The sequence below is a fragment of the Homo sapiens genome, chromosome 2, assembly GCF_000001405.40.
Source record: "Homo sapiens chromosome 2, GRCh38.p14 Primary Assembly".
NCBI lineage: Eukaryota > Metazoa > Chordata > Mammalia > Primates > Hominidae > Homo > Homo sapiens.
In genome coordinates this window covers 34,039,859-34,067,100 of record NC_000002.12, presented here as the reverse complement: position 1 = coordinate 34,067,100, position 27,242 = coordinate 34,039,859, and the positions used below count along the sequence as shown (strand labels likewise).

Here is a 27,242-nt window from a genome sequence, read left to right as displayed (position 1 = left end):
GCTTTCATCTTTTTAAAAATAATATTCAGGCTTTATAAAAACCTTCTAATATTTTTCAGGATTATTCTATCAGTAACATAACCTGAGATGCAACAAAGAGGTGAGGCATCGTGGATGTTAATCCATATCTTTTAATTCCTCATCCAAGGCTCTTTCTATACTGGTTTCATGAAAAAAATGTTATCAGCAAAACCCTTTCTTCAAATGAAAACTGAAGCAACAGCCTAGGATATTTGAAACCCAACTCTGGGCCCCATTGCTACATTTAGTCAAACCAGGCTTCAACCTCACCCTCTAACTTATTTGTCCTGCATATTCATTATTTTAAAAAATATAAGACATTCCAAAATTTAGTAAATATTATAACTTTTCCAAGCATTTCATGGGAAAAGGAAAGTGAGGGTACAGACTGTATACTATGACTGAGTAAAAATTTCATTAGACAATTTCTCCAAGTGTTTTGATGGCCACTCAGCCAATCAGTGGTCTTTTCTCTTACCCATCTACCATTCCCACTCACTCTCCATTAGCTTCCTCCGTGAAGATGCAGCACTATGCATACCACCTGCTCTAAAATTTACACTGCCCACAGGTGTTCCTCACTATTCCAAGCAACTCTCTTGACAGGTATAGTCCAGTTCCAATTTTGACCCAGGTGTCTGAATTTGATTATTTGGTTGTAACAAAAAATTGCTTCAAATTCCCTTAAACAACAATAGAAGTTATGACCACTTTATTCCCATAAGGGACTCTATCAAAAAGTAGAAAGCCAGGTCATAATGTTACTTTGCAATTTCTCCATACTTATATTCAGTAACTACTGCATTACTATTACCCTCTGCAGACAGTTTTCTCTGCTTTTCCCAGCAGAATTCAGATGCCCTGTGGGAGCCAGAGAACAACTTTCATTTTAAGCACCCACCAGAGACTAACAACAATTTCTGTATCCTGCGAGAGAAAATGTGGTTGACTCAGTACACGCCAGCCAGGTGAGATGTCCAGTATACCATGACCAAAGCCACATAACACGTTTCCTACCTAGCAGAGATGAAATGAATAAAATATCAAGAAGGGGCTTTTAATGCAGTGGTAAATTGGCTGAACATACACGTAAGTCACCACTTAAAGCCTATACTTCTGAATTCATCAAAAGGTCAGTATTTATCTGTTTAGTTAACTAGCCCTCCAGTCCTCAATATAACATTCCACTCTGCAGAAGAATCCATGGAGAAGAAACAGAGACCCCAAAAATGTAGCCTTTCCAAAGACAATCTGTCTAGCAGAGAATAAAGCACGTGTACAAGTATGATACACTACAGTGTTTCCGTAATGAGGATCTGTTGGTATATTCTTGTGACTCCATAAAGTTTTTTTATGACAGTTTTAAAATATTTTGTTTTTGTTGAGAATCTAAAACTAAAATTCTATTCTGGATTATCTAGATAAATACTTAGTGACCTTGTTTTGCCACCGAGTTTCATTGCTTAAGTCTGATTAGCATTTACAGTTATAAGATACGAAATGATCATCTACAGTAACCACTTTTACATTGAACTATTTAATGAAGTACTTCTTACATTGGAATCCACAGATACGTTTTGGGGGTGGGTACGTTGAGGGTTCTCAAGTTTGAGAAGCGCTGATATGAGGATAAAATCAATAACGTGCTGTCATTTATTGAAGTGCTTCAATGAGCTATATGTTTTTATAAAGATTTTTTAAAGTTTCATGCTTAATTCTAAAAACAATCATGTGAAGTTGGTGTCATTATCCTCACCGTGTAGATGAAGAAACTGAAGGCTAGATAAATTAAGTCATTTGTTCTAAAGTCACCGAGCTGGCCAAGTTGAAGTCATGATGATAATCAAAGTATATCTCCTGCTCTCTCATCTATATCCTTTTCTCTACATCACGTCAACTTTGCAAAAGGGGTGTTGATGCACTATGCCCTATACTTTTATTTATAGCATCTAGGTAGTTAGGGGGTAATTCTGGCCAAATCAGAACAGCTGAAAATCATGAGGTACATATAGAGAACAAGAGAACAAAGAATTTTTTTTTTTTTTTTTTTTTTTTGGTTGAGACGTAGTCTCACCCTTTTGCCCAGGCTGGAAGGCAGTGGCGTGATCTCCACTTACTGCAACCTCAATTGCTCAAGCGATTCTCCTGCCTCAGCCTCCCCAGTAGCTGGGATTACAGACAGGCACCACTCCATCAAGATAATTTTGTGTATTTTTAGTAGAGAAGAGGTTTCACCATGTTGGCCGGGCTGGTCTCCAACTCCTGACCTCAAGTGATCCACCTGCCTCAGCCTCCCAAAATGTTAGGATTACAGGTGTGATCCAACATGCCCAGCCAAGAACAAAGATTATTTTAATCCGGTAAACATGGTAGACATGAAAGTAGGGTTGTCAGATTTAGCAAATAAATATACAGGACACCCAGTTGAGTTTAAATTTCAGATAAATAATGAATACTTTTTTCCTCTGAATATTTCTCACACAATATTTGAGATATATTTATCCTAAAAAGTTACCCATTTATTACATAAAATTCAAATTAAGTGGATTTCCTGTATTTTATCTGGCCACCTTCCATGAAAGGAAGTACAGGAGCATCTCCTTTTATTGTGCTTCACTTTACTGCACTTTCAATAATAGTTTCTTGTTTTCTTTTTTTTTTTTAACAAATTAAGGGTTTGTGCCAACCTTGCATCAAGAAAGTCTATCGGCACCATTTTTACAACAGCATATGTTCACTTTGTGTCTCTGCATCACATTTTGCTAATTCTTGCAAAATTTTAAACTTTTTCATTGTTTTATGTCCTTTATGGTGCTCTGTGATCAATGATTTTTGAAGTTACTATAATAATTGGTTTGGGGTGATACAAACCATGCCCAAGCAACATGGTAAATGTAATAAATGTTGTGTGTGTTCTGACTGCTCCACCAACAGGCTGCTCCCCCATTTCTCCTTCTCTTTTGGACCTCCCTGTTCCCTGAGTCATAAAAATATTTAAATTAAGCCAATTAATAACTCTACAATGGTCTCTAAGTTCTCAAGTGAAAAGAAAAGTTGCAGGTCTCTCACTTTAAATCAAAAGCTAGAAATAATTAATCTTAGTGAGGAAGGCATTTCTAAAGCCACAGTAGGCCCAAAGGTTGGCCTTTTGTGCCAAACAGCCAAGTTGTAAATGCAAAGGTAAAGTTCTTGAAGGAAATTAAAAGCGCTATTCCAATGAATATACATGGTAAGAAAGTAAAACAGCCTTCTTGCTGATATGAAAGAAGTTTTAGTGGTCTGTGAGGACTAAACTCTGATTTTTTTTTCTTTTTTTGAGATGAAGTCTCACTCTGTTGCCCAAGCTGGAGTGTAGTGGCATGATCTCAGCTCACTGTAACCTCCGCCTCCTGGGTTCAAGTGATTCTCCTGCCTCAGCCTCCCACGTAGCTGGGACTACAAGTGCACAACACCATGCCCAGCTAATTTTTGTATTTTTAGTAGAGACAGGGTTTTACTATGTGGGCCAGGCTGGTCTCCAACTCCTGACCTTGTGATCCACCCAACTAGACCTCCCAAAGTGCTGGGATTACAGGTGTGAGCCACCATGCCCGGCCAACTCTGATTTTTTTTTTTTTTTTATCTTGCCCGAATGCCTATCTAAGAGGTCTGGGGAATCATGCCCTACAAATCATAAATTCTCATCAGATAGGTTTTATTGAACCTTATATATCGTGACTTACTTTCCAACCCGACTCTGGCATAACATTATGAGACAAGGAAAAAAATCAAACTTACTTCACCCCAAAACATGTTTATGTGCCTTATTTTGAAATGGCCCTGCAAAGGTGTTCTTTGGGGGGAAAATATGCATCTATAAAGAATCTCTATTAACATTGCTAGTTCTTTTTCTTCCAGACTCTCCCAATCCTAAAGAGATTAACTAAGATCTGAATAGGAAACTTTGTCATCTATTGTCTCTAAGGGCAGCCATTATGAGACTTCGAAAGAACTTTGGTCTCCAAATCTTTTATCTTAACCTGAACTTTCCCTTTCTATGGATTCCAGGTCTTTAGACAAATGCAACCAATTGTCAACCAGAAAATGTTTAAATTTACCTATAGCCTGGAAGCCACCCGCTTCCTCCCACCCTTCCCTACTTTGAGTTGTCCTGCCTTTCTGAACCAAACCAATGTGTTTCTTAAATGTATTTGATTGGTGTCTCATGCCTCTCTAAAATGTATAAAACTAAGCTGCACCCCAACCACCTTGGGCACATGTTCTGAGGACTTCCTGAGGTCTGTGTCACGGGCCATGGTCACTCGCCATGTCGATAGAAGTTCAAACCAGCCACAACATTCCCTTAAGCCAAAGCCTAATCGAAAGCAAGACCCTAACTCTCTTCAGTTCTCTGAAGATTGAAAGAGGGGAGAAAGCTGAAGAAAAAAAGTCCGACAGTAACAGAAGTTGGTTTATGAGGTTTAAGAAAAGAAGCCCTGTTCATAACATAAAAATTCAAGATGAGGCAGGCCGATGCAGATGTAGAAGCTACAGCAAGTTATCCAGATCTAGCTAAGATCATTGATGAAGCTGGCTACACTAAACAAGTTTTTTCATGCAACTGAAACCACCTTAAAATGGAAGAATATGCCGTCTATGACTTTGATAGCTAGAGAGAAGTCAATGCCTGGCTTCAAACGTCAAAGGACAGGCTGACTCTCTTGTTAGCAAGGGTTAATGCAGCTAGTGACTTTAAGTTGAAGCGTCAGGGTTTGAGAAGACTGACTCCAATTTTTAAAGAAGTTCTTCTGTGGGTAAAATGCTATCACACAGCATCACGTGCTACAGGGAAATCTTTTGTGAAAGGAAGAGTCAATTGATGCGGCAAATTTCATTTTTTTATTTTAAGAAATTGCCACAGCCACTCCAACCCTCAGCAATCATTTTCTCTGACTAGTCAGCAGCCATCAACATTAAGGCAAGACTGGAAAAAAGTTTATACTTTGCTGAAGGTTCAAATGATTGTTAGCATTTTTTAGTAATATGCTAGTTTTTATTAAATTAAGGTATATAGATTTTTTTAGACATAATTCAATTTGTACCCTAATAAGCTACAATGTACATATAACTTTTATATGCACTGAGAAACCAAAACAATTGTGTGACTTGCTTTATTGAGATATTCACCTTATTGTGGTGGTTTGGAACTGAACCCATCATGTCTCTGAGGTATGCCAGTAATTGGTTATAAGCAGGAGAGGTAATGAATGGTGGAGATAAATGGAGCCGGAGCTGAGTCAACTGGCTAAGATTAGACTTTATTCTCCAGGCAAAGGGATACTATTTTGTTTCTGAGAAAAATATTGACATGATTGGATTTGTGCTTCAGGAAGATTAATCTAGCTGAGAAAGGTAAAACAAATTAGAGACATGAGGAGTCTAAGGTAACAGTTCAGGGGAGAGGGTCTGAATTATACTAGCAGCAGTAGGATAGAGGTGCCGGGGCAGATTTGAGACATAACAGAGGTAGTATCATCAAATCAGTGATCTGAAGTTCGCTAATGAAATTCACCTATCTGGATTTATGGAATAACAAACACCTTTGGGAAAAAAAATATGTACCACTGTCAATATTTTTATTTCAAAACAAATACTTGAAGTGCCTCTTGGATTGCTTCCCCCACATTTGGGTGAATTTTCCCCAGAAGCTATGTAAGCAGCTCGGACTCAATCCCGAGTTCCTTCACTAAGTTCATGAAGTAGTTTTTCATCATGACAGTAAACCCACAGCACACATTCAAGAGGCATATGATGGATTAAGGACATCTTTGAACTGCCAGTGGGAATGGAAAACAGAAGAAGACTAAAGACTGCAGCACACCAGAAGAAAACCTTACCTTTTGGTTGTTTTTTTTTTTTTTATCAAGCATGAAGTTTATCTTCTGCCCCAGGACTGCAGTGTTTTCCACATGGGCACAGTGGTTTATGGCCACAAAGCAGGCACCCTCCAGAGGTTTCCTAAGTCATTCATCACGCCCAGTCTCCAGTCATCACCATGCATCTCATCTAGATACCACACACACTGAAAAAAGAAGAGAACGTGCAGGCAATTTTAGAATGTAAAAACAATCCATTTGTTTCATTTGTTCAGTAAATATTTATTACCTACATACTCTGCTCTAGAAGAGTCAGCAAACTAAAGCCTCTAAGCCAAATCTAGCCCGCAGCTGGTTTTTGTAAATAAAGTTTTATTGAAACACATCCATGTCCATTTGTTTAGCTTCTTTCAAGATTCAATTGCAAAGAGGGAAGAAAGGGAGAGCTGATGTTCTCCAGGGTTGGTAAACTTCCCTGAAGGAACAGAGAGAAAATATTTGAGACTTTGGGGATAATGTGGTCCCTGTCACAACTACTGTGTTCTGCACTGTGAAGCAAAAGCGGTATAAACAACATGTAAATTGTCTTTAGAGTTCTATTTACAAAACAGGAGGTTAACCTGTAGCCATAATTTCTTACCTCTGGTCTAGATCTTAGAATGTCCCTGGGCGATGTCTCTAGAAAAAAACAATAATTTCTACAAGAACTAACCAATATTCTTATTTCTCTTCACTAGTGTGGACATAGAGGATTGACAAAACATATTTTGTGTTTGATTTCTTCATTTGATGATTTATCTATCTTAGATCATACAATTTCAACAAATCACAGTTAAATCTTAAGTTATTTTTATTCTATCTTGTTCTTATTCAAATATTTGTTTCTTTAATATGCCTGTTGCAGGAGAGAAAAAATATTTTTATACATTTTTCAAATTCATTTCACTAGAGGAATTTTATGGTGTTTGTTTTTATTTCAGCATATACTTGGGTAACGGGTTCTTGGACTAAATTTGGAGGTAGATTCTGCTGCATGACGATAAATTGCTAGTGCTTGGAAAAGAAAATATACCAACATTTAGAAGGCACACTCTGAAATTACCCAATGCTACATCTATGTGATATCTATTATATGTAGAACAATAATGTGTCTGTGAGAATCCTGTCAGAGACAGAAACCACACCAGTAATTTGATCAGGGAAACTTTAATATAAGAAACCACTAACTAGTACAAAAGGAAGTAGTATTTTGTAGTTAAAAAGAAAAGAACAGAAAACAATACCAGAAAAGTGTCTCTAACACCTCTCTTATGCTGTCACATACAATCAGTTGCCAAGACCCACATCTATTTGGTCTATTATAATTATTTCCTAATTGAGCTCTGTACTTTTGGTCTCTTTGTGAGGCAACATTAATCTTTCTTCACTAGTCACAACTTTCCTCAAAGTCCTTTAAAATAATACTTCCATCCGATATCCTCTTTAAATGTCTTTTAAACTAAACACTTTCTTAGTATTTAATAACTCCTTGGTTTTTTTTTTTTACTTTAAAACCTCCATAAAACTCTAATTTCTTTTTCTTGATTACTTTTGTACTTTCTTGCCTATGTAATTTTAGCTGAGTCCTTCCTTTCTTCTAGAATCCCCCAGAGCCTATCTCCACTTGTTAAAATTCTCTCATTTCTTGAGAACTGGTCTCAAATACCATTTTTCCCACAAAGACTTTTCAGTTGCTCCATTAAATACAATCATTTCCTACCCTGATCTCCTCCAACACCATTTTATATTTCCCTAATGTTAATTACCACACCCACAAGTGTTAATTTTTCTGCAATCATAAGAAAACACCAGCAGATAAGCAACCTGTAGACTATGACTATATTTTAGGGAGTTAATATATGACAAGAGATGATGTATTAAATCTGATGGCTAGGTTTGAGGCCCAGTTGCTATACTTGCCAGGCATTAACCCATTTATGCCTGAGGTTGCAATTTTTTGAATTTTTGCAATCAGACCTTGCTGATGACTTTGAGCAGTTGGATATAAATAACTCCCACATGCTTAGCGTTCCTATAATGGAACACTAGGCATAAAGGGGTTTTAATGTCTGATTCAGTGAAATACAGAAAATATTATCAGCCTTACACATAAAGTGACTAACACAGTGTTAAGCTCAAGGTAGGTGTAAAATGAATCAGTTCTTCTTTTTCATCTTTAGAACCCTCCTGACCCCAAACACAAAGAATGTTCAATTTCTTAAATACATTTTTATGGAGATGTAGGCCAATATGAAGTTTGCCATTCTGGAAACTCAGCATTATCAGCTGAGCAATCCTATCTGAATCCCTAGTGTAGCAGAATCTTCACAAAACTTCCAGATTTCAGTTTCTCCCATGTGGGAAACAAAATGTAAATGAACCTATTGCTCCCAATTATAAATGTGTGGTGGGTAGGAGAGAGAAAAAGAGGGGCACGTTGAGCAAGGGGATCCCTTTCTTAATCCTTAAATTCCAAAATCAGGCCACTATTTTGATTTTGTATTTATTTTTTCTTAGTCTATTCAGCTTCAAAGTTGGAAACAGTAGTTCTTTTGTTTCATATTAACCTAATTTTTTTAACTTTTATTTGTCCCCTCATTTTGCATTATTTTTCAAGTTCAATGCAATTACAACCCTCAAATATATATATTTGAGACAAGGTTTTGTCTTACATATAGGTTTTTGTCTTAAATATATATATATTTAAGGTTTTTGTCTTAAATATACACATATATTCAAGACAAGGTTTTGCTCTGTCACATATGGCTGGAGTGCAGCACGATCATAGCTCACTGCAACTTTGATCTCCTGGGCTGAAGCAATTCTCTCACCTCATCAAATGGAAATTTTACTTGCAGTTTCATTTAAAAAATCAAAAGTTGCTTAAATACATTAAGTTGACTTTAAGCAATAAATGAAATCCTAAAAATTGTGTATAAATTGAATTTGTTTTAATTATAAATGAATGAATGCATATCAGGTTAAATGGTCTATAGTAATATGATTCTTGAGGAATAAATTCATATTTATAAATATTTGGGAAAAAATGAATAATTTAGGTTTTCATACGTCAGATTTGTTGCATGTGGGCTAAATCTGTAATCTCATTCCTTGTTCCTATTTGAAACTCATTTCTATGATGACAAAATATATATTATTTTCTGAGAAAATAAAAACGAGGCTTAATGAAACAAATAAAGGGAATAAATCATGAGCTATATTTTAATAATTTTAGTCCTCAGTTTAAAAGATACTGCCAAGTAAAGTGTCCCATATCTTATATTCATTTAGAAAACCCTTCTCTGAACACAGAAAAGAAATATAACTCTATAAAAACCCCAGGCACAAGCTGCTAACCAGTCGAATATAATTGTATAGATTTTTTTATACTTGAATATAGAAAGGCTTTTGACTGTCATGTATCTTGCAAGATTTGTATAAATAAGGGATGACTGGTTGCATCATGATACACACATGTACTGCTCAATCGTCTACTTCACATTTTTTGCTGTGATGATGAAACATTCACAATGACATTTTCCTTGACATAAATGTAGACCTATAAAAGAGAGATTTCATCTTCAGAATCATAGAATGTTTGAACTCTCAGGACCACAGAGATGACTTAGTTTAGCCTTTTCCTTTTATATTTCAAGTTGTTGAGACTCAGAAAGATAATGACATACCCAAGATCATCCAGGTTATTGGCAGCCACATCATAAGAAATTTGGGACCCTGTTTATTCCTCTGCTGCACAGTTTGAAACAGAAAATGGAAATTACAGTGTTTCAAATCCAAAAATTTAAGCCATTTTTCCCCATGCTATTTAGCCAAGCTACACTGAAGTCATTTTTGCTTGCTCATTTTTGTTTGTTACACAAAGCATCTTATTCTCTACAAAAAATAAAAAGCTAAGGTACTGACTCTGGGAAAGTTTTGAAACTAAATTAAAATAAATGATGAAAAACAAAGTAAATATTAGATATAATTAAACACACTATTTATTCCTGGGAAGTAAACTTCCTAGAGCTCTCGTAAGTATTTTTGATTATGAGAGTTGAAGAAGGACTAATCGCCAATATTCTCCAGCCACTTGCCAACACCTAAAACTGAAGGATGAATATCCACGGCTAAAATATGTCAATTATGTTTTTAATGTCCCAACAGCTTTAGTGATAACCTATCTGAGTTCTATACAAACGGAGGCGGAGCAAGATGGCTGAGTAGAAGCCTCCACTGACAGTCCTCCCTGAGGGAATGCCAAATTGAACAGCTGTCCACACATAAAAGCACCTTCCTGCGAGGCAAAAACTAGGCAGGTTATCACAGTACCTGGTTTTAATTTCATATCAAGGAAAGAGGCACTGAAGAAGGTAGGAAAGACACTCTTGAATTGCTGATGCTACCCCTCTGCCATCCCCCAGCAGTGGCTGCATGGTGCTGAGACAGAATCTGTGCCCTTGGGGGAGGAAGAGTGCCATGATTGTGGGACTTTGCACTGAAACTCAGTGTTGCCCTGTTACAGTGGAAAGCAACAGAGGGCAGAACTCAGCCAGCACACACACAGACAGCATTTAGACCAGCCCTAGCCAGAGAGAAACTGCCCATTTCAGTGGTTGGAACCTGAGTTCCACCAAGCCTTGCCACCGTGGACCAAAGTGCTCTGGGGTCCTAAATAAACTTGAAAAGCAGTCTAGGCCACAAAGACTGAAATTCCTGGGCAAGTCCCAGTGTTATGCTCGGCTCAGAGCCAGTGGACTTGGGGAGCACGTGACCTAAGAGATACCAGCTAGGGTGGCCAAGGGGGTCCTTAGGCCACCACTCCCACAACCTCAAGCAGTAAAGCTTACAGATCTGGGAGAGGGTCCTTCCCTCCGCTTAAAGAGAGGAGAGGAAGAGTAAAGAGGACTTTGTCTTGTAACTTGTCAGCTCACAGTAGGATAGGGCACCAGGCAGACTTCTGAGGTCCCCATTCCAGATCCTAGTTTCCAGATGAAATTTCTAGACACAATCTGGGCCAGAAAGGAACACATTGCCTTGAAGAGAAGGACCAAATTCTGGCAGGATTCATCACTTGCTAAATAAAGAGCCCTTGGGCCCTGAATAATCAGCATTGGTGCCCGGGCAATACTTGCCAAGGACCTTAGATAAAATTCACAGAAATGTCTGCATCAGGAGTGAACCCACACATTCTCAGATGTGTTGGCTAAGAGGAGGGCCTTTTCCTGCTTGAGAAAAAGAGAGGGAAGAGTAAGGGGACATTGTCTTGCAGCTTAGGTACCAGCTCAGCCATAGTAAAGAAGAGCACCAAGCAAACTCTTGGGCTCCCAGTTCTAGGCCTTGGCTCTTGGATGGCATTTCTTGACATGCCCTAGGCTGGAGAGGAGCCCACTACCCTGAAGAGTGAGTCCCAGGCCTAGCAGCGTTTACCACAAGCTGACTGAAGAGCCCTTGGGCCTTGAATAAATATCAATGGTAGCCAGGCAGTACTTACGGCAGGCCTGGGGTCGTGGTGGCCACAGGGAAAGACTTCTCTGCTTGAGGAAAGGAGAGGGAAGAGTGGAAAGGACTTTGTCTTGTACCTGCGATGCCAATCAGCTGCAGTAGAATAGAGCACGAAATAGATTCCTAAGGTTTCTGACTCCAGGCCCTGCCTGTGGATGGCATCTTTAGACACCCCAGGCCTGTGGAAATTTTACCACCCTAAAGGGAAGGACACAAGCCTGGCTGGCTTCACCACCTACTGATTAAAGAGCCCGAGGGCCTTGAGCAAACATAAGCATAGCCAGGCAGTGGTTACCACAGGCCATGGGTAAGACCCCAGTGCTGTGCTGGCTTCAGCTCTGATCTAGCACAGTCCCAAGGGTGGTAGTCACAGGGGTGCTTGTGTCACCCCTTCCCAAGCTCCAGGCAGCTCAGCACAGACAGAGACTTTGGCTGATTGGGAAAAAGTAAAGGAAGAGAACAAGAGTCTCTGACTGGTAATCCAGGGAATTCCGAATCTTACCCAAGACCACCAAGGTGGTACCTCCATGAGTCTGAGCCTTGGGGTGCCTCCTAATGCAGATATGGCTATAGTGACCAAAGACAGATCACAACACCCAAGTCCCTTCGAATACCTGGAAATCATACCCAAGAAGGATGCGTACGAACAAACTAAACTGTGAAGACTACAATAAGTACCTAACTCTTCAGTGCCCAGAAACCAACAAACATTCACAAGCATCAACAGCATCCAGGAAAACATGGCCTTGCTATGCAAACTAAATAAGGCACCTGGAACCAATCCTGCAGAAACTGAGACATGTAACCTTTTAGATGGAGAATTCAAAATAGCTGTTTTGAGGAAACACAACAAAATCCAAGATAGCACAGAGAAGAAATTCAGAATTCTATCTGATAAACTTAACAAATAGATTGAAATAGTTAAAAAGAATCAAGTAGAAACTCCGGAGTTGACAAATACAAGTGACATACTGAAAAATGCTTTGGAGTCTCTTAAAAGCAGAATTGATCAAACAGAAGAAAAAATAAGTGAGCTTCAAGACAGGCTATTTGAAAACACACAGAGGGGACGAAAGAAAAAATAATAAGAAAGAATTAAAGCAGACCTACAAGACCTAGAAAATAGCCTCAAATAGGCAAATCTAAGGAGGCCCTAAAGAGGATGTAGAAAGAGATAGATCTGGGTAGAAAGCGTATTCGAAGAATAACAACAGAGAGCTTCTGAAACCTAGAGAAAGTATCAATATTCAAGTACGAGGTTATAGAACAGCAAGCATATTTAACCCAAATAAGTCTACCTCAATCTATTTAATAAGCAAACTCTCAAATGCCCAGGATGAAGAAAGAATTCTAAAAGAAGCAAGAGAAAAGAAACAAATAACAACATACAATGGAGCTCCAATATGTCTGGCAGCAGACTTTTCAGTGGAAACCTTACAAGTCAGGGGACAGTGGCATGGCATATTTAAAGGGTGAAGGAAAATAAAATTTACCCTAGAATAGTAGATTTGGCAAAAATATCCTTTAAATATGAAGAAGAAATGAAGACTTTCTCAGACAAAATCTCAGGACTTTCATCAACACCAGACCTGCCCCACATGAAATACTAAAGGGAATTCTTCACTCTGAAAGAAAAGGATGTTAATGAGCAATAAAAAATTACCGGAAGGCACAAAACTCACTGGTAACAGTAAATACACAGAAAAACACAGAATGTTATAACACTGTAATTGTGGTGTGTAAACTATTCATATATTGAGTAGAAAGATTAAATAATGACCCAATCCAAAACAGTGATGGAATAATGAAAACTTTTCAAGACATAGTACAATAAAATATAATTGGAACAACAAAATGTTAAAAAGCAAGGGGAAAAAGTAAAAGTGTAGCGTTTTCATTAGTTTTATCTTTGCTTGTTAGTTTATGTAGTGTTAAACTGTCATCAATTTATAATATGGGCAAGAACATAGTATGTACAATCCTCATGGTAACCTCAATCAAAAATCATACAATGGATACACACAAAAATATAAAAAGCAAGAAATGAAAACAGACCACCAGAGAAAATCACCTTCACTAAAATGAAAATAGAAAGGAAGGAAAGAAGGAAGCGAAGACCACAAGACAAGAAGAAAACAAATAACAAAATGGCGAAAGTAAGTCCTTACTTATCAATAATAACATTGAATGCAAATAGACTAACTCTCTGATCAAAATACATAGAGTATGACTGAATACATTAGAAACAAGACCCAGTGAACTACTGCCTACAAGAAACACACTTCACCTATACCGACAAAAAAGATTTCAAGACATAACTATTGAAAAAAGACAAAGAAGGTCATTATGTAATGATAAAGGGGTCAATTCAGCAAGAGGATACGACAATTGTAAATATATATGCACCCAAAACTGGAGCACCCAGATATATAAAACAAATATTAGAATTAAAGAGAGAGATAGACACCAATACAATAACAGATGGAGATTTCAACACCCCACTTTCGGCATTGAACAGATCTTCCAGGCAGAAAATCAACATGGAAACATTGGACTTTGCACTATAGACTAAATGTACCTATGGATATTTACAGAATATTTCATCCAATGGCTGAAAAATACAGTCAACTCCTCATTAATGGATTATTCTCAAGGATAGACCATGTGTTAGGACACAAAATAAGTCTTAAAATATTTTAAAAAACTGAAATAATATCAAGCATTTTTTTCTGACCATAATGGAATAAAGCTATAATTCGATAACAAGACGAATTTTAGGAACTACACAGACACATGGAAATTAAACAATATGCTCCTGAATGACCAGTGGGTCAATGAAGAAATTAAGAAGGAAATTGAAAAATTCCTTGAAACAAATGGAAACACAACATACCCAAGCCTGTAGGATACAGTGAAAGCAATACAAAGAGGAAAGTTTATAGCTATAAGTGCCTACATCAAAAAAGTAAAAAAAAAAAAAAAAACTTCAAATAAACAACATAGTGATGCATCTTTTGAAACAAGAAAAGTGCAAACCCAACCCAAAATTAGTAGAGGAATATAAATAGTAAAGATCAGAGCAGAAATAAATGAAATTGAAACAAGGCAAACAATAAAAAAGATCAATGAAAATAAAAGTTGGTTTTTTGAAAAGATAAAGAAAACTGACAAATCTTTAGCCAGACTAAGCAAAAGACGGGAGTTCTATACAAGACATTGAGACTCTATCCATTCGTCACAACTTGAACTCAGTCATGAAGCCTGAGCATCAATTTTTTAATGCTTCCCTCTCATTTATACCTATGTAATTTTCCTCTCTGGAATCATTAAGTTATTTTATTGTCTTAGTAAAATATATACACATAGATGTACCTAATTTATTCTCTATTCATCTTCCATAAAAACTGTATAACTATCTTTTCCTGCTCTCTCCAGCAGGGACAATTTCCCTTTATCATCAGTCTATCTTTCAATTTGTGCCAATTAATTACCTGTTCAACACAGGATTAAAGGCTAACAGAGAATAGGGGATGGACCAAAGATGTAAAATATGTGGAACTGATACTTATCTCAGGGAAAAATGGATATTCAATTAATTCTCCTGTAAACAAAAAGAATATTAAATTCTTACTATATCCTTTATATTATTATTACTATTCTATGGCAGCAGTTCTCAACCAGAGGCAATTTTGCCCCCTATGGGACATTTGGCAATGTCTGAAGACATTTTTGATTGCCACAACTTGGGGAGTTGGCAGCTGCTAGTGGCATCGAGTAGGCAGATGCCATGGGTCCTAGGACAACCCCCTAAAACAAAGAATTAACTGGCCAAAAAAGTCAATCATGTCAAAGTTGAAAAACTCTCCGAAGGCATTATTATACGCATTCTATGTATATTAGATAATTTAACCCTAGGTTACTCTCATTTAACTGGGGAGTTATATAAGTCATAGAGAAGTTAAGTAACTTGCAGAAGAGGTCGAGAAACAGCTAACAAGTGACAGAGATAAGATTTAAAATTGAGAGGTCTGGATCCTAATAGCTCTGCGTCTCTGACTGCTGAAATAACATTCATTTTTTTAAGGCCAAAATTACTAAAATTTTTCGAGTCCAATTGACCCTTGAACAATGTGGGGGCTAAGGACTCTGATCCTCTGTGCAGTTGAAAATTTATGTATAACCTTTGACTCCCCCAAAACTTAATGACTAATAAACTACTATTGACCAGAAGCCTTACCAACAACATAAACAGTCTATTAACACATAATTTGCATGATATATGTATTATATACTACATTCTTTGAAATAAGCTAGAGAAAAGAAAATACTAAGAAATCACATGGAAGACAAAATATATTTAGTATTCATTAAATGAAAGTGGATCATCATAAAAGTCTTCATCCTTGTTGTTTTCATGTTGGGTAGGCTGAGGAGGAGGGCGAGTTGGTCTTGCTGTCTCAAAGGTGGCAGAGATGGAAGAAAATTGGCATCTAGGCCGGGTGCAGTGGCTCACACCTGTAATCCCAGCACTTTGGGAGGCTGAGGCGGGTGGATCAGGTGGTCAGGAGATCAAGACCATCCTGGCTAACATGGTGAAACCCCGTCTCTACAAAAAATACAAAAACAAAATTAGCCGGGCGTGGTAGCAGGCGCCTGTAGTGCCAGCTACTCGGGAGGCTGAGGCAGGAGAATGGCGTGAATCCGGGAGGCGGAGCTTGCAGTGAGCTGAGATTGCGCCATTGCACTCCAGCCTGGGCCACAGCGCGAGACTCCGTCCCCCCACCTCCCCCCCAAAAAAAATGAAAAAAAAAAAAAGAAAAGAAAATTGGCATCTAAATGGACCCATGCAGTTCAAACTCATGCTGTTCAAAGATCAGCTGTACTTTGTAGGACCCTCTCATATGATGACCATAGCAGCTCTATGCTCTAAGTAAGATTCACAATATTGTCATATTTCATTAGCTGTCACCATTGCATGAAGATTTTTTGATTCCCTTCCCACCTACACAGTTAAAAATAATTGTTCTGGCCTTCAAATTCCCAGAGCTGTAATATCTTATCTAGAGTATGACACCATGATTTCCCAAAGCACTTCTTAAGGGACACTAGCTCTGCCAAGGATTAAAATGTATTGTGTGATAAGAATTCTGTGGTCAAATAATACATGAAAACATAAGATAAATGAAATCAAACTTTCTATTTAAACTTCCCAGAGACTGATATGCACTGTGAATGTCTGAGAGATATACTCTATATAGCATACCTCAAATTAATTTGAGCAAAAAAGCTCTTCTTTACCTATCAGTTTGAGAAGTATTAGTATCATATGATCAAAAATAATAAAATAATAATAATCATGTTGTTAGGTTATAATGATCTTTTCTTATCTCTTGACCTTTTAAATGACCTACTCAGTACCCTTCCTCCAAGCAAATGGGACAATATTTATAAAGCATTGGAATATAATAAACATTATGCAAAGATGCTGCAGAAAATATACACAAATCATTATTTTAATGACTCTTCTTATGGGGATTAAAATAAAAAGAAACAACTAATACGATTGTTTGTCATCTTGCAGATAGAACAACTATGCATTTGGGTGCCCTGTAACCACAGGGTTCATACATCTCCTTAGCCAAACCTCCTAAAAGAAGTCTGTTAGAAGTAGAGAACAATGCTGTCAATGATTCAGTAACTCACACTTTATTCTCCAGTGAGCCAAGAAACAGTTTTGTCATTGTGGTTTGCAGCAGAATGTGCTCTCGAGATGGTTGCAGACAATTGGGTCAAGAATGTAGCCTCCGTGGCCAGGCACAGTGGCTCATGCCTGTAATCCCAGCACTTTGGGAGGCCAAGGCAGATGGATCATGAGGTCATAGTGAAACCCCATCTCTACTAAAAATACAAACAAATTAGCCGGGCATGGTGGTGCACGCCTGTAGTCCCAGCTACTCGGGAGGCTAAGGCAGGAGAATCGCTTGGACCTGGAAGGCGGAGGTTGCAGTGAGCCAAGACTGTGCCATCGCACTCCAGTCTGGGTGACAGAGCAAGACTCTGTCTAAAAAAAAAAAAAAAAAAAAAAAGAACGTAGCCTCCAGACCCAGGTAAACTACCCACCATAATGCCAAATAAAGTGAAAAACCTGGGGGGAAATAGACAAAGGATTTGAATGAACATAAGCACATGGAAAGATGCTCAACATCATTCTAGAACTTCATTAATTGTTAGAGAAATGCAAATAAAATCTACACTGAGCTACAACTTCTCTTTCACTAGGATGACTAAAATGAAAAACACACACAATAATAAATGTCAGTGAGGATATGGAGAAATTAAAAGCCTCATACAATTGTTAGTAGGACTGCAAAATGGAACAGTCACTTTGGAAAACAGTTTGACAGTTTCTCAAAAAGTCAAATATAGACTTACCATAGGCTGCTCCTAGGTATACACCCACAAGAATTGCAAACCTATGTTCACACAAAAATTTGTACACAAATGTCCATGGAAGCATTATTCATAATAGAGGAAACATGGAAACAATCCGAGACTCTATAAACTGATGAAGATGTGGCATGGGTAAACAATGGACTATTATTTGCTATAAAAAAGAATGACATACAGTGGGAAGTAACACCTAATGGGCATTTTGTTTTGTTTTGTTTTTTGAGACAGAAGTCTCGCTCTGTCACCCAGGCTGAAGTGCAGTGGGCAATCTCGGCTCACTGTAAGCTCCGTCTCCCGGGTTCATGCCATTCTCCTGCCTCAGCCTCCCAAGTAGCTGGGACTACAGGTGCCCGCCACCACACCCGGCTAATTTTTTTTATTTTTAGTAGAGATGGGGTTTCACCACGTTAGCCAGGATGGTCTCAATCTCCTGACCTTGTGATCCTCCCGCCTCAGCCTTCCAAAGTGCTGGGATTACAGGCGTGAACCACTGTGCCCAGCCGGGCATGTGTTTTTTGTTTCCGTGGGGGGTGATGAAAGCATTCTGGAATTAGATAGTGGTGATGCTTGCACACTCTATCAGCATACAAAAAACTACTGAATTATATACTATAAACAGGTTTTAAGGTTAGTTTTAAACTGGTTAATGTTAGAGAAAAAAATGATGCACTGTATAAAAGGGGATCCCACAACTCACCTTGTAAGAAGTCCTCAAGTTTTAGTACTTTAGGTTGCTGATTTCTATTATAGAACTAAAAAGAATTTAGTATTAGTTTCTTTTCTTCTCCAGATCCACACGGATTAGAAAGAGCTCTTTCTCTTCCATATACGTTCAACATTTTTCCCCAGCCCAGTTAGAGTGCCACCTCTTCAACAAGACCCCCTTCTGCTTTTTAATAAATAGACAAAAAGTCACTTTTATTCAGCTCCATCAGACATTGCTTTATGCTAATGTCTCTTAATGGCAGGGATTCCCTTGTGCCTGTATTTTTATGACATTTACAGTAAGCATTGGTGGCAATAATGTTGATCATCCTCGTTTTCTTTGTCCTTTTCATTATTTCTGCCTTTTCCTTCTCAGGGCTTCACTACTGTCCTCCATATGTAGAGCTTAAGGTTAAGCTCTATCCGAGCTACTCTAAAAGTTCTAGAACTTTATTCGACTGGTGGACGATGCAAACTCTCAAGATGGCCTTTGAGGCAGAGGATCACTAATGTGCTGTCAGCTGACTTCCCACTCCTCCCACCAACTACCTCGGCTCAGCACTCTCCGGGCTTCTTAGTACAGGTACCACTTGCCTATCTGCTCTTTTGCATGCCAAAGATTTTTTTATTCTATTCTTATTGCCCCTCTGCATTTATGGCTTTTGGAAGAAAAAAAAAAAGCACACTGCAATTATATTAGCGGTGTTTGGGTGGAAAGCCAGTCTACTTATTCCCTGGAATGTTCTTTGACAAACTAGAAAACGCTGGCAGGTCAGCATACTCTGAGAAGCATCAACACTGGGAAGCACTAGTCTGGCAAAAGGATATTGAGCTTTCAGGTCAGAGAAACTAGGATCTAGTGTTAGCTTTGCTATGATTTGGGGGAAAGTTAACATTTCCAAGCCCCAGTTTTCTCATCTGTTAAACGGACATAATATGCACCTTGCACGTACTTGAGAAAAAGAGATGAAACATTACCTGTACATTGCCTTGTATGTAGCCTATAGCTTTTATGAGTTTTGACTCACAAATGTTAATTCAATTTTATTCCCTTGAAAGCAGATCCAGAGCTTTGCTACTCAAAGGATGGTTCATGGACCAGAAGCATCTGCATCTCCCAGCTTCTTTTTCAAAATACAGAGCTTCCAGCCCCACCCCAAACCTACTGAATCAAAATCTGCATTTTATCAAGACCTTGAGGGAATCTGTATACCTATTTTTATGCATATTAAAGTCTGAGAAACTCTGCTACAGAGGCCCATGTTTATTAACTGACAGATGTTGGAGTGGGATGGAATTGGAGGTGATAGGGAAGTCTATTAATAAGATTCCAGAACATTCTGGGGAAGATTCAAAGGGCCCAGTGAGAAAATTGTAGAAAGTGTCTTTATAACTTAAAAGCATAATCTCCTTCCAGTTTTTGCTCTCTCTCATTAATACATACATTAAGACATGGTAGAGCATGCTGAGGCATTTTGGGACAGAGGTTGAATAGCGGCAGCTCCCACACTTCCCTGCCATGTAGATGAGGGAGATCACTCCATGCCAGTTGAGTGATCAGCCTAATGTTGTCTCTCAAGCAGGACTTTCCTTTGGTACCTTTATAATGAAATTTTTTTTCTTGAGATGGAGTCTCGCTCAGCTGCCCAGGCTGGAATGCAGTGGCGCGATCTCGGCTCGCTGCAACTACTGTCTCCCCAGTTCAAGTGATTCTTCTGTCTCAGCCTCCTGAGTAGCTGGGATTACAGGCACTCGCCATCATGCGTGGCTAAATTTTTTTGTATTTTAGTAGAGACGTGGTTTCACCACGTTGACCAGGCTGGTCTTGAACTCCTGACCTCAGGTGATCCGACCGTGTTGGCCTCCCAAAGTGCTAGGATTACAGGCGTGAGCCACCGCGCCCAGCTATAATGAATTTTTAAACCTATAAGCAGACCATGAGTTTAACACTTCATGCCTGAGCCCAACATACAGATACAGAAGTGCTGGTTTCCTCTGTCTCCTTATACCATTTAGAAAATGCATCACTCAGCCTCTGTATTACAGCCAGAATTTATCTCTAAAGCCGCTCCTTCTATTTCTGGGTCTCGTATTGATATATTCCTACAAGCTCAAGCATTTTGAAGACCATTAGAAATATCCAATGTGGGCCGGGCGCAGTGGCTCACGCCTGTAATCCCAGCACTTTGGGAGGCCGAGGCAGGTGGATCACGAGGTCAGGAGTTCAAGACCAGCCTGGCCAAGATGGTGAAACCCCATCTCTACTAAAAATACAAAAATTAGCTGGGCGTGGTGGTGGGTGCCTGTAATCCCAGCTATTCGGGAGGCTGAGGCAGAGAATTGCTTGAACCCAGGAGGGAGAGGTTGCAGTGAGCCGAGATTGCACCACTGCACTCCAGCCTGAGCGACAGAGCGAAACTCCGTCTCAAAACAAAAAAAAAAAAGAAATATCCAACGTGGTTCAATCAAGAAATAATGTTAGAGAAAATAACCATATACTGTGTGTAAGAGAATCCCGCAACTCACATTGTAAAAAATTCCTCAAATTTTAGTACTGAAGCCTGCTTATTCCATTTTTAAAATAAACTAGAGAAGCAATTGACAGGTATCTTAGGGTACACTTAATTTACACCAACAGATTTTCATTTACTCTTTGGAGTCTGTGAATTCAGTTCATTACCAGAAAGATTTTTGAAATGTTAGTGCCATCCTTTCTCCAACTATCCTTTAACCCAACCCCAAACAGGATACTATCTTAAGCACAGTCTTAGGTAACAAGAAAAAAATCAGGAAATGGATTATTATCCCTTAAGCTAGATAGAGCTTTATAACTGCAAAACTACTTTAGAGGAATTCCTTTCTTTCAATCACTTCGCCCAGAAACTCAATAAATGTTCATTAGAGGACTGAATAAACCAACATTTGGTGACACTGTTCCACCAGCATCTCCGGAAAAGCTTCTACTGTTAGGACGTTGTTTGGCTAACCATCCATCTAGTAGATCTTTCCAGATCTCATCAGTGATTGCAAATGCTATCTCTTGGATGAAAGAAAAACTGTGTTAGTTGTTATGTTGACAAGTGTATCCATAGGGATGTTTTGCTGCCAAGAAAAGAGGCTGAATGTGAGGAAATTTCATTATGCACACATTTCCATTAAAAAAAATTAAATGATCCGAACCATCTCTCCGAAGCACAGTCTTTAGCAACAACCTGGAATTGATTCAGTTGTTGTTTTAATGGAATTGCTTTTTTCCCCAATAAAGCCTCAATGAAATTTGTTAGCAGAAGTTTTAGTTGATGGCATTCAGCCAAAGTATTTGTCAATGGGATTTTACTTCTTAGATGTGTTTGGTAGCTTTGGAAAAGCTTTTTATTTATTTTTTAATTAGAAGTCTCCAGAGAATGTCTGGAAGCATAAGTACTAGAGAGTCTCTATTCCAAAATTTATTTTACATTAAACTTGAAATTCCCAGGACTCCTTTGGGTACTAGAATATGCAAATTTATGAGTATGACACCGCACAAATACACAGTTGAAGATTGCATGACTGAAAGAAAACACCAGTTTAAGTGGAAGAAAGATTGTTATTTTTTCTTAGGAAAAGAATAAAGAAGATAAGAAACATGGAAGTTTATTGAGTCTGACAATGATAATAATATAGTATAATTTATTGAATTAAAATTCCAATCATGGCCTGTTTCTTTTGTTAACTCACTACCTCAACAGCTCTCCACTGCTGGTCCACCGACCTTGTGCCTCAGATTTCTAATGGACTTCCATCGTAGACAGTGAAAGTCATGTCTTTCACTGTCATACCTCAACTGCTGCAGTATAGGAGAGCATCTAGTTCTCTTTAGTGAGAAAGTGAATGCATTTGCTCTGACAGAGAAGTCAAATTTTACTCAAGGAAGAAGTGTATGGTCCACAGCAACGCATTGACACAAATGTGCTACTCTCTGGCTGCATAATCTTGGGGTTTTTTTTTTGTTTTTTTGTTTTTGAGACGGAGTCTCTCTCTGTCACCCAGGCTGGAGTGCAGTGGTGCAATCTCGGCTCACTGCAAGCTCCGCCTCCCGGGTTCACACCATTCTCCTGCCTCAGCCTCCCGAGTAGCTGGGACTAAAGATGGCCACCACCACGCCCGGCTAATTTTTTATATTTCTTTTACTAGAGACGGGGTTTCACCATTTTAGCCAGGATGGTCTCTATCTCCTGACCTCGTGAGCTGCCCACCTCGGCCTTCCAAAGTGCTGGGATTACAGGCGTGAGCCACCACGCCCGGCCGTAATCTTGGTTCTTTAACCTCTCAAAGCATCACATTCCTCATTTTGAAAATGCAGAAAATACTCAACACTGTCACAGGACTGCTGCACTCACAAGTAAAGCACCTGCACAGCATTCGTACCCAATAGACAACAAGTGCTCATTGCATTCCTTTTCCTTCCCTCTACAACCTGAAGTTATGAATAGATTACACTTGTATTGCATAGAGACTTTCTGGACTTCACTGAATCTTCTACCTTTTCAATGGCAATTCACTGTCACCTTTACCAGCAGCAACATTCACAGGTCAGGTAGATCAGGCTTGTATCATGTATTGACTTGGTTCGTAGGCTGAGGACTCTGCTACTTATGTGGAAACAAACTGTGAATTTACAGATAAGAAAATATGAAAAACTGGGATACTTTAGGGAAATGTTCTAAAACAAAAATGAGATCCTTTCTCCAGTCTTGCTTTTATTACCAACTGGCTCTATGACTTTTACTGTTACTTTATCTTTTGAGACTCAATTTCCTACCTAAACAACATGATTGAAACGTTTGTTAACTCACAGTGTTACAAAAATCCAGTAAAATATGGAAATCTGGAACTCTTCACAATTATAAGGTAGTGAGAGTAGTAGGACCACAGAAATCTTCCTGCTACTCTGTGCAATTGTTTTATCAGCAAACACGTTAAAAAAAAAAAAAAAAAAAAGAGAGAGAGAAGATTTTCTAGGCATATCATTGGTGACTCTGAGGTTTTTCTCATGATGAGAATGAAGACGTCAAAGTGGAAAAGTAGAGCGACACCAGGGAAGCAGTAAGAGGGAAGGAGTTAGATCTTAGTACAACAGGTACAAGAGAGTATTAAGAAAAAGGGTGGGCCGGGCACGGTGGCTCACGCTTGTAATCCCAGCACTTTGGGAGGCCAAGGTGGGCGGATCACAAGGTCAGGAGATCGAGACCATCCTGGCTAATATGGTGAAACCCCGTCTCTACTAAATATACAAAAAATTAGCTGGGCATGGTGGCAGATGCCTGTAGTCCCAGCTACTTGGGAGGCTGAGGCAGGAGAATGACAGGAACCTGGGAGGCGGAACTTGCAGTGAGCCAAGATCGTGCCACTGCACTCCAGCCATGGCGACAGAGCGAGACTCCATCTCAAAAAAAAAAAAAAAAAAAAAAAAGAAAAAGGCCGTGAGTGGTGGCCCACACCTGTAATCCGATCACTTTGGGAGGCCAAGACAGGCGGATCATGAGGTGAGGAGATCAAGACCATTCTGGCCAACACGGTGAAACCTCATCTCTACTAAAAATGCAAAAAATTAGCCGGGCATGGTGGCGGGCGCCTGTAGTCCCAGCTACTCGGGAGGCTGAGGCAGGAGAATGGCGTGAACCCAGGAGGCGGAGCTTGCAGTGAGCCGAGATCTCGCCACTGCACTCCAGCCTGGGTGACAGAGGAGACTCCGTTTCAAAAAAAAAGAAAAGAAAAGAAAAGAAAAAGGGTGAAGGTCAGAATACAAGCACACATTATATGACATGGCAGGTCATGCCATAAAATTATATAAATAGCTAGCATATTTGTGGATATATAGAAGGAGCTTAGAAAATAAGAAAATTTAATGAGGTTGAACTTTTCCCTGATTGAGATCAGGGATTTGTTAGCTCACATAGACCAACAGGAATGCATCCCTTTTTCTGTTGTATAATGACTTCTGCGTAACCAGGACATGGCCAATTTTGGAAATGTGGTCTGAGAAGAAAGAATGTGAGAGCAACTGAGTGAAGGTGTGGAGACCATGAGCAATTCTGTTGTGATCATCCCCAGCAAACAGCAGTAGCCAATCTCTGAACTTTCATCAGCTTATATAGAAAGGGCTTTATGCAAACCTCTCGTTCCAGATTGAACTTTTGAAGGCTTTCAAATCACCACTAACACGTAAGCATTGCTGCTTGCCAGCAATGGTCCACCAACCTTGTGCCTCAGATTTCTAATGGACTTCCATCGTTTACAGTGAAAGTCATGGTTATTATTCAGCCACAATTTAGTTTTTTCAAGCATGATTATTTGAGGTGTTGGGAATCAACATAATTTTCATGCTTCTTCTGCTTAAATATCTGTATAGCTTTCCAGATACATATGCATACGTCTCTCATATCATTGTAAAATAAGATGCTTGAGAGAATGAACTATATCCAGAGACAGAAGTAACCATAAAGGGAGTAGGGATTTTTCTTAAATAACTTCTTTTTGGGGTATAGAAAATTTTCATCTCTACTCCAATGATCACCTTTCCTTTTCTTTTTTGTATTATTTATCAAACATGTATTTTCTGGGCACTGGTTCTCTTCCCAGATTTATGGAGGCATAATTGACAAATAAAAATTATATATATTAAAGGTATACGATGTGATAAATTGATATATATATATATATATATATAGTGAAGTGATCACCACAGTTTAATAAACACATCCATCACCTCACATAGTTACCTTTTGTTTTGTGTGTGATTAGAACACTTAAGCTCTACTCTCTTAGCAAATTTCAAGTATACAATATGGTATAATTAACTATAGTCACTGTAATGTACATGACTTTTTTATTCTTAAAGGAATAAGGCCAAGGTCCATCCAGAACAACCTTTCCTGAATTGTGGTCATGTTCTGTGAAACAAGAGATGATTATACCTTAGCACACTGGAAGAAAAGATGGCAGAAATCCAAGAGTGGATGCAAACAGACCCAGAATCATCTTATAATGCTAGCAGAGAGTTTGCTTGCCAAAGAAGGGTAAATCCTTTGATTACCACCTGTGAAACAAGGCTCTGATATTCTACCAAATTACATCAGAACACGAGATAGGGAGACAGGAGAACACTGAATTAAGAATCAAGATGCTTTGCTCTGTCTCTAGCTATTAGCACATCACTAGGCAAGTCACTTTCTTTACTCAGTCTGTTATCCCAACTGGTAAGTGAAACGAATGTGTTATAGTCTCTAATGTTCCATCCAACTCTAAGTTTCTATTATGTCCATGAACCTGTGTTCAACAGTAATGAGATCAGTATAAAGGCCATGCAGGGAGAAATCAGCTTCACCTAAGTTGGAGCAATCCTCAGAGATGCCAGCTGCTTCTTTTCTGTCTAAAAACATTTATTTATTTGATTATATTTAATACATTAATCAGCACCAATGACTGTACCATCCAACCTGAATGTGAGAACCCTGACCACAACCTAAAATACATATTTTGCATTTCCCATCAAGGCTCATCTGAGACTTCACAAAGCCTAAGGGGCTTCTTTGGTCTTGCTAAGATGCACCTGTCATTCCTAACACTGTCTTGTAACAAACATTGGCCTAATACTCAGCAATCTTGAGTTGAACCCACCTGCCAATAATTTGCTTTGTGATCCTGAGCATATCCCTTCATCTGCTCAGATTCAGTTTTCTCTACATGGAGAAGAATGGAATAGATTTCACGCAGCCCAAACATTCTATGATTCCACATTTAAACAACCAATGGAGAGGGGAGACTGTAATTTGAAGTCAAGAGATACTGAATCTATGTCTTCATACTATCCTTATTTGTCTTTGTTTCTAGATCCACCTTGCAATGATGGTTGATTTGTTAAATTGTAAACATTGTCACTCAGGGAGTAATTCTCGCATGACCGAGAACAGTACCTGACACTTATTAGGCTGTCAGTATGTATTGGTTGAATGTATGAATGCAAGAAAACTACAGCTTAACAGTGAGAACCAAAAACTATTATAATAACTCCAACTACATTCTGTAAAATCTGACTAGAAATTTCTGAATTGGAAGTTCCAAGTACTAACCAGCATTCTGAGACACACAGTTACTTATGTATGTATTGCTTCAGGATCATCTACAGCTAAGGCACAATTTCAACTAAATGGATTTGATTCTAACCTAAATTAATTTGTCCCTTCAAATCAAAGCAGCTTAGCAGAAACTTTACATATGTTAGGTAATTAGATGAATTTCTAGTACCTCATTATTGGTTAATTATTAAAGGCAGGTCACAGCTCTAATTTAAGGATTCTATTTATGTCTGGAAATCTATGCTATGGTCTACTTTGAAGTGCTATTGCAAGGGAGGGAGGGAGAAATAGCCGTGAGTCAATGGCAGTAAGTTCAAACCCTGGTTTCTCATCTAGAACAATTTAACCCATTTCTGTTCTCAGTTTCCAAGTATAAATAATGCAATTAAATTTTCTTTTGCATACCACCTTCACAAATATTAATGTGTTACTGTTGATTTTTAACAGAGAACTATTAGAAGATATGTGTAGTCCAGAAATAGGAAGAATAAAAGATAAGAGAGGAAGTAGAATACCCAGGAAGAAAAAAGGGCCCTGTTCCTATTGGCGT

The 27,242-nt window shown here is 38.7% G+C and overlaps 3 long non-coding RNA genes across 4 annotated transcripts in view; 1 reads left to right on the top strand and 2 right to left on the bottom strand.

The window, feature by feature from the left end:
• Window positions 1–27,242, bottom strand: part of LINC01317 (long intergenic non-protein coding RNA 1317) — a 590,861-nt gene that overhangs the window by 230,646 nt on the left and 332,973 nt on the right. The window lies entirely within an intron of this gene.
• On the top strand, window positions 17–19,146 carry LOC105374456 (uncharacterized). The gene is made up of 3 exons (XR_939954.2): window positions 17–100; window positions 871–989; window positions 18,952–19,146. It is a non-coding gene; the product is annotated as an uncharacterized LOC105374456 (long non-coding RNA).
• On the bottom strand, window positions 16,002–26,290 carry LOC124905987 (uncharacterized). Of its 2 annotated transcripts, none has more exons than XR_007086275.1 (3): window positions 26,235–26,290; window positions 18,568–18,622; window positions 16,002–16,026 (listed from the first exon to the last, which is right to left on the bottom strand). It is a non-coding gene; the product is annotated as an uncharacterized LOC124905987 (long non-coding RNA). The 2 variants fall into 2 exon arrangements; XR_007086276.1 differs by lacking the exon at window positions 16,002–16,026 and adding an exon at window positions 18,329–18,414.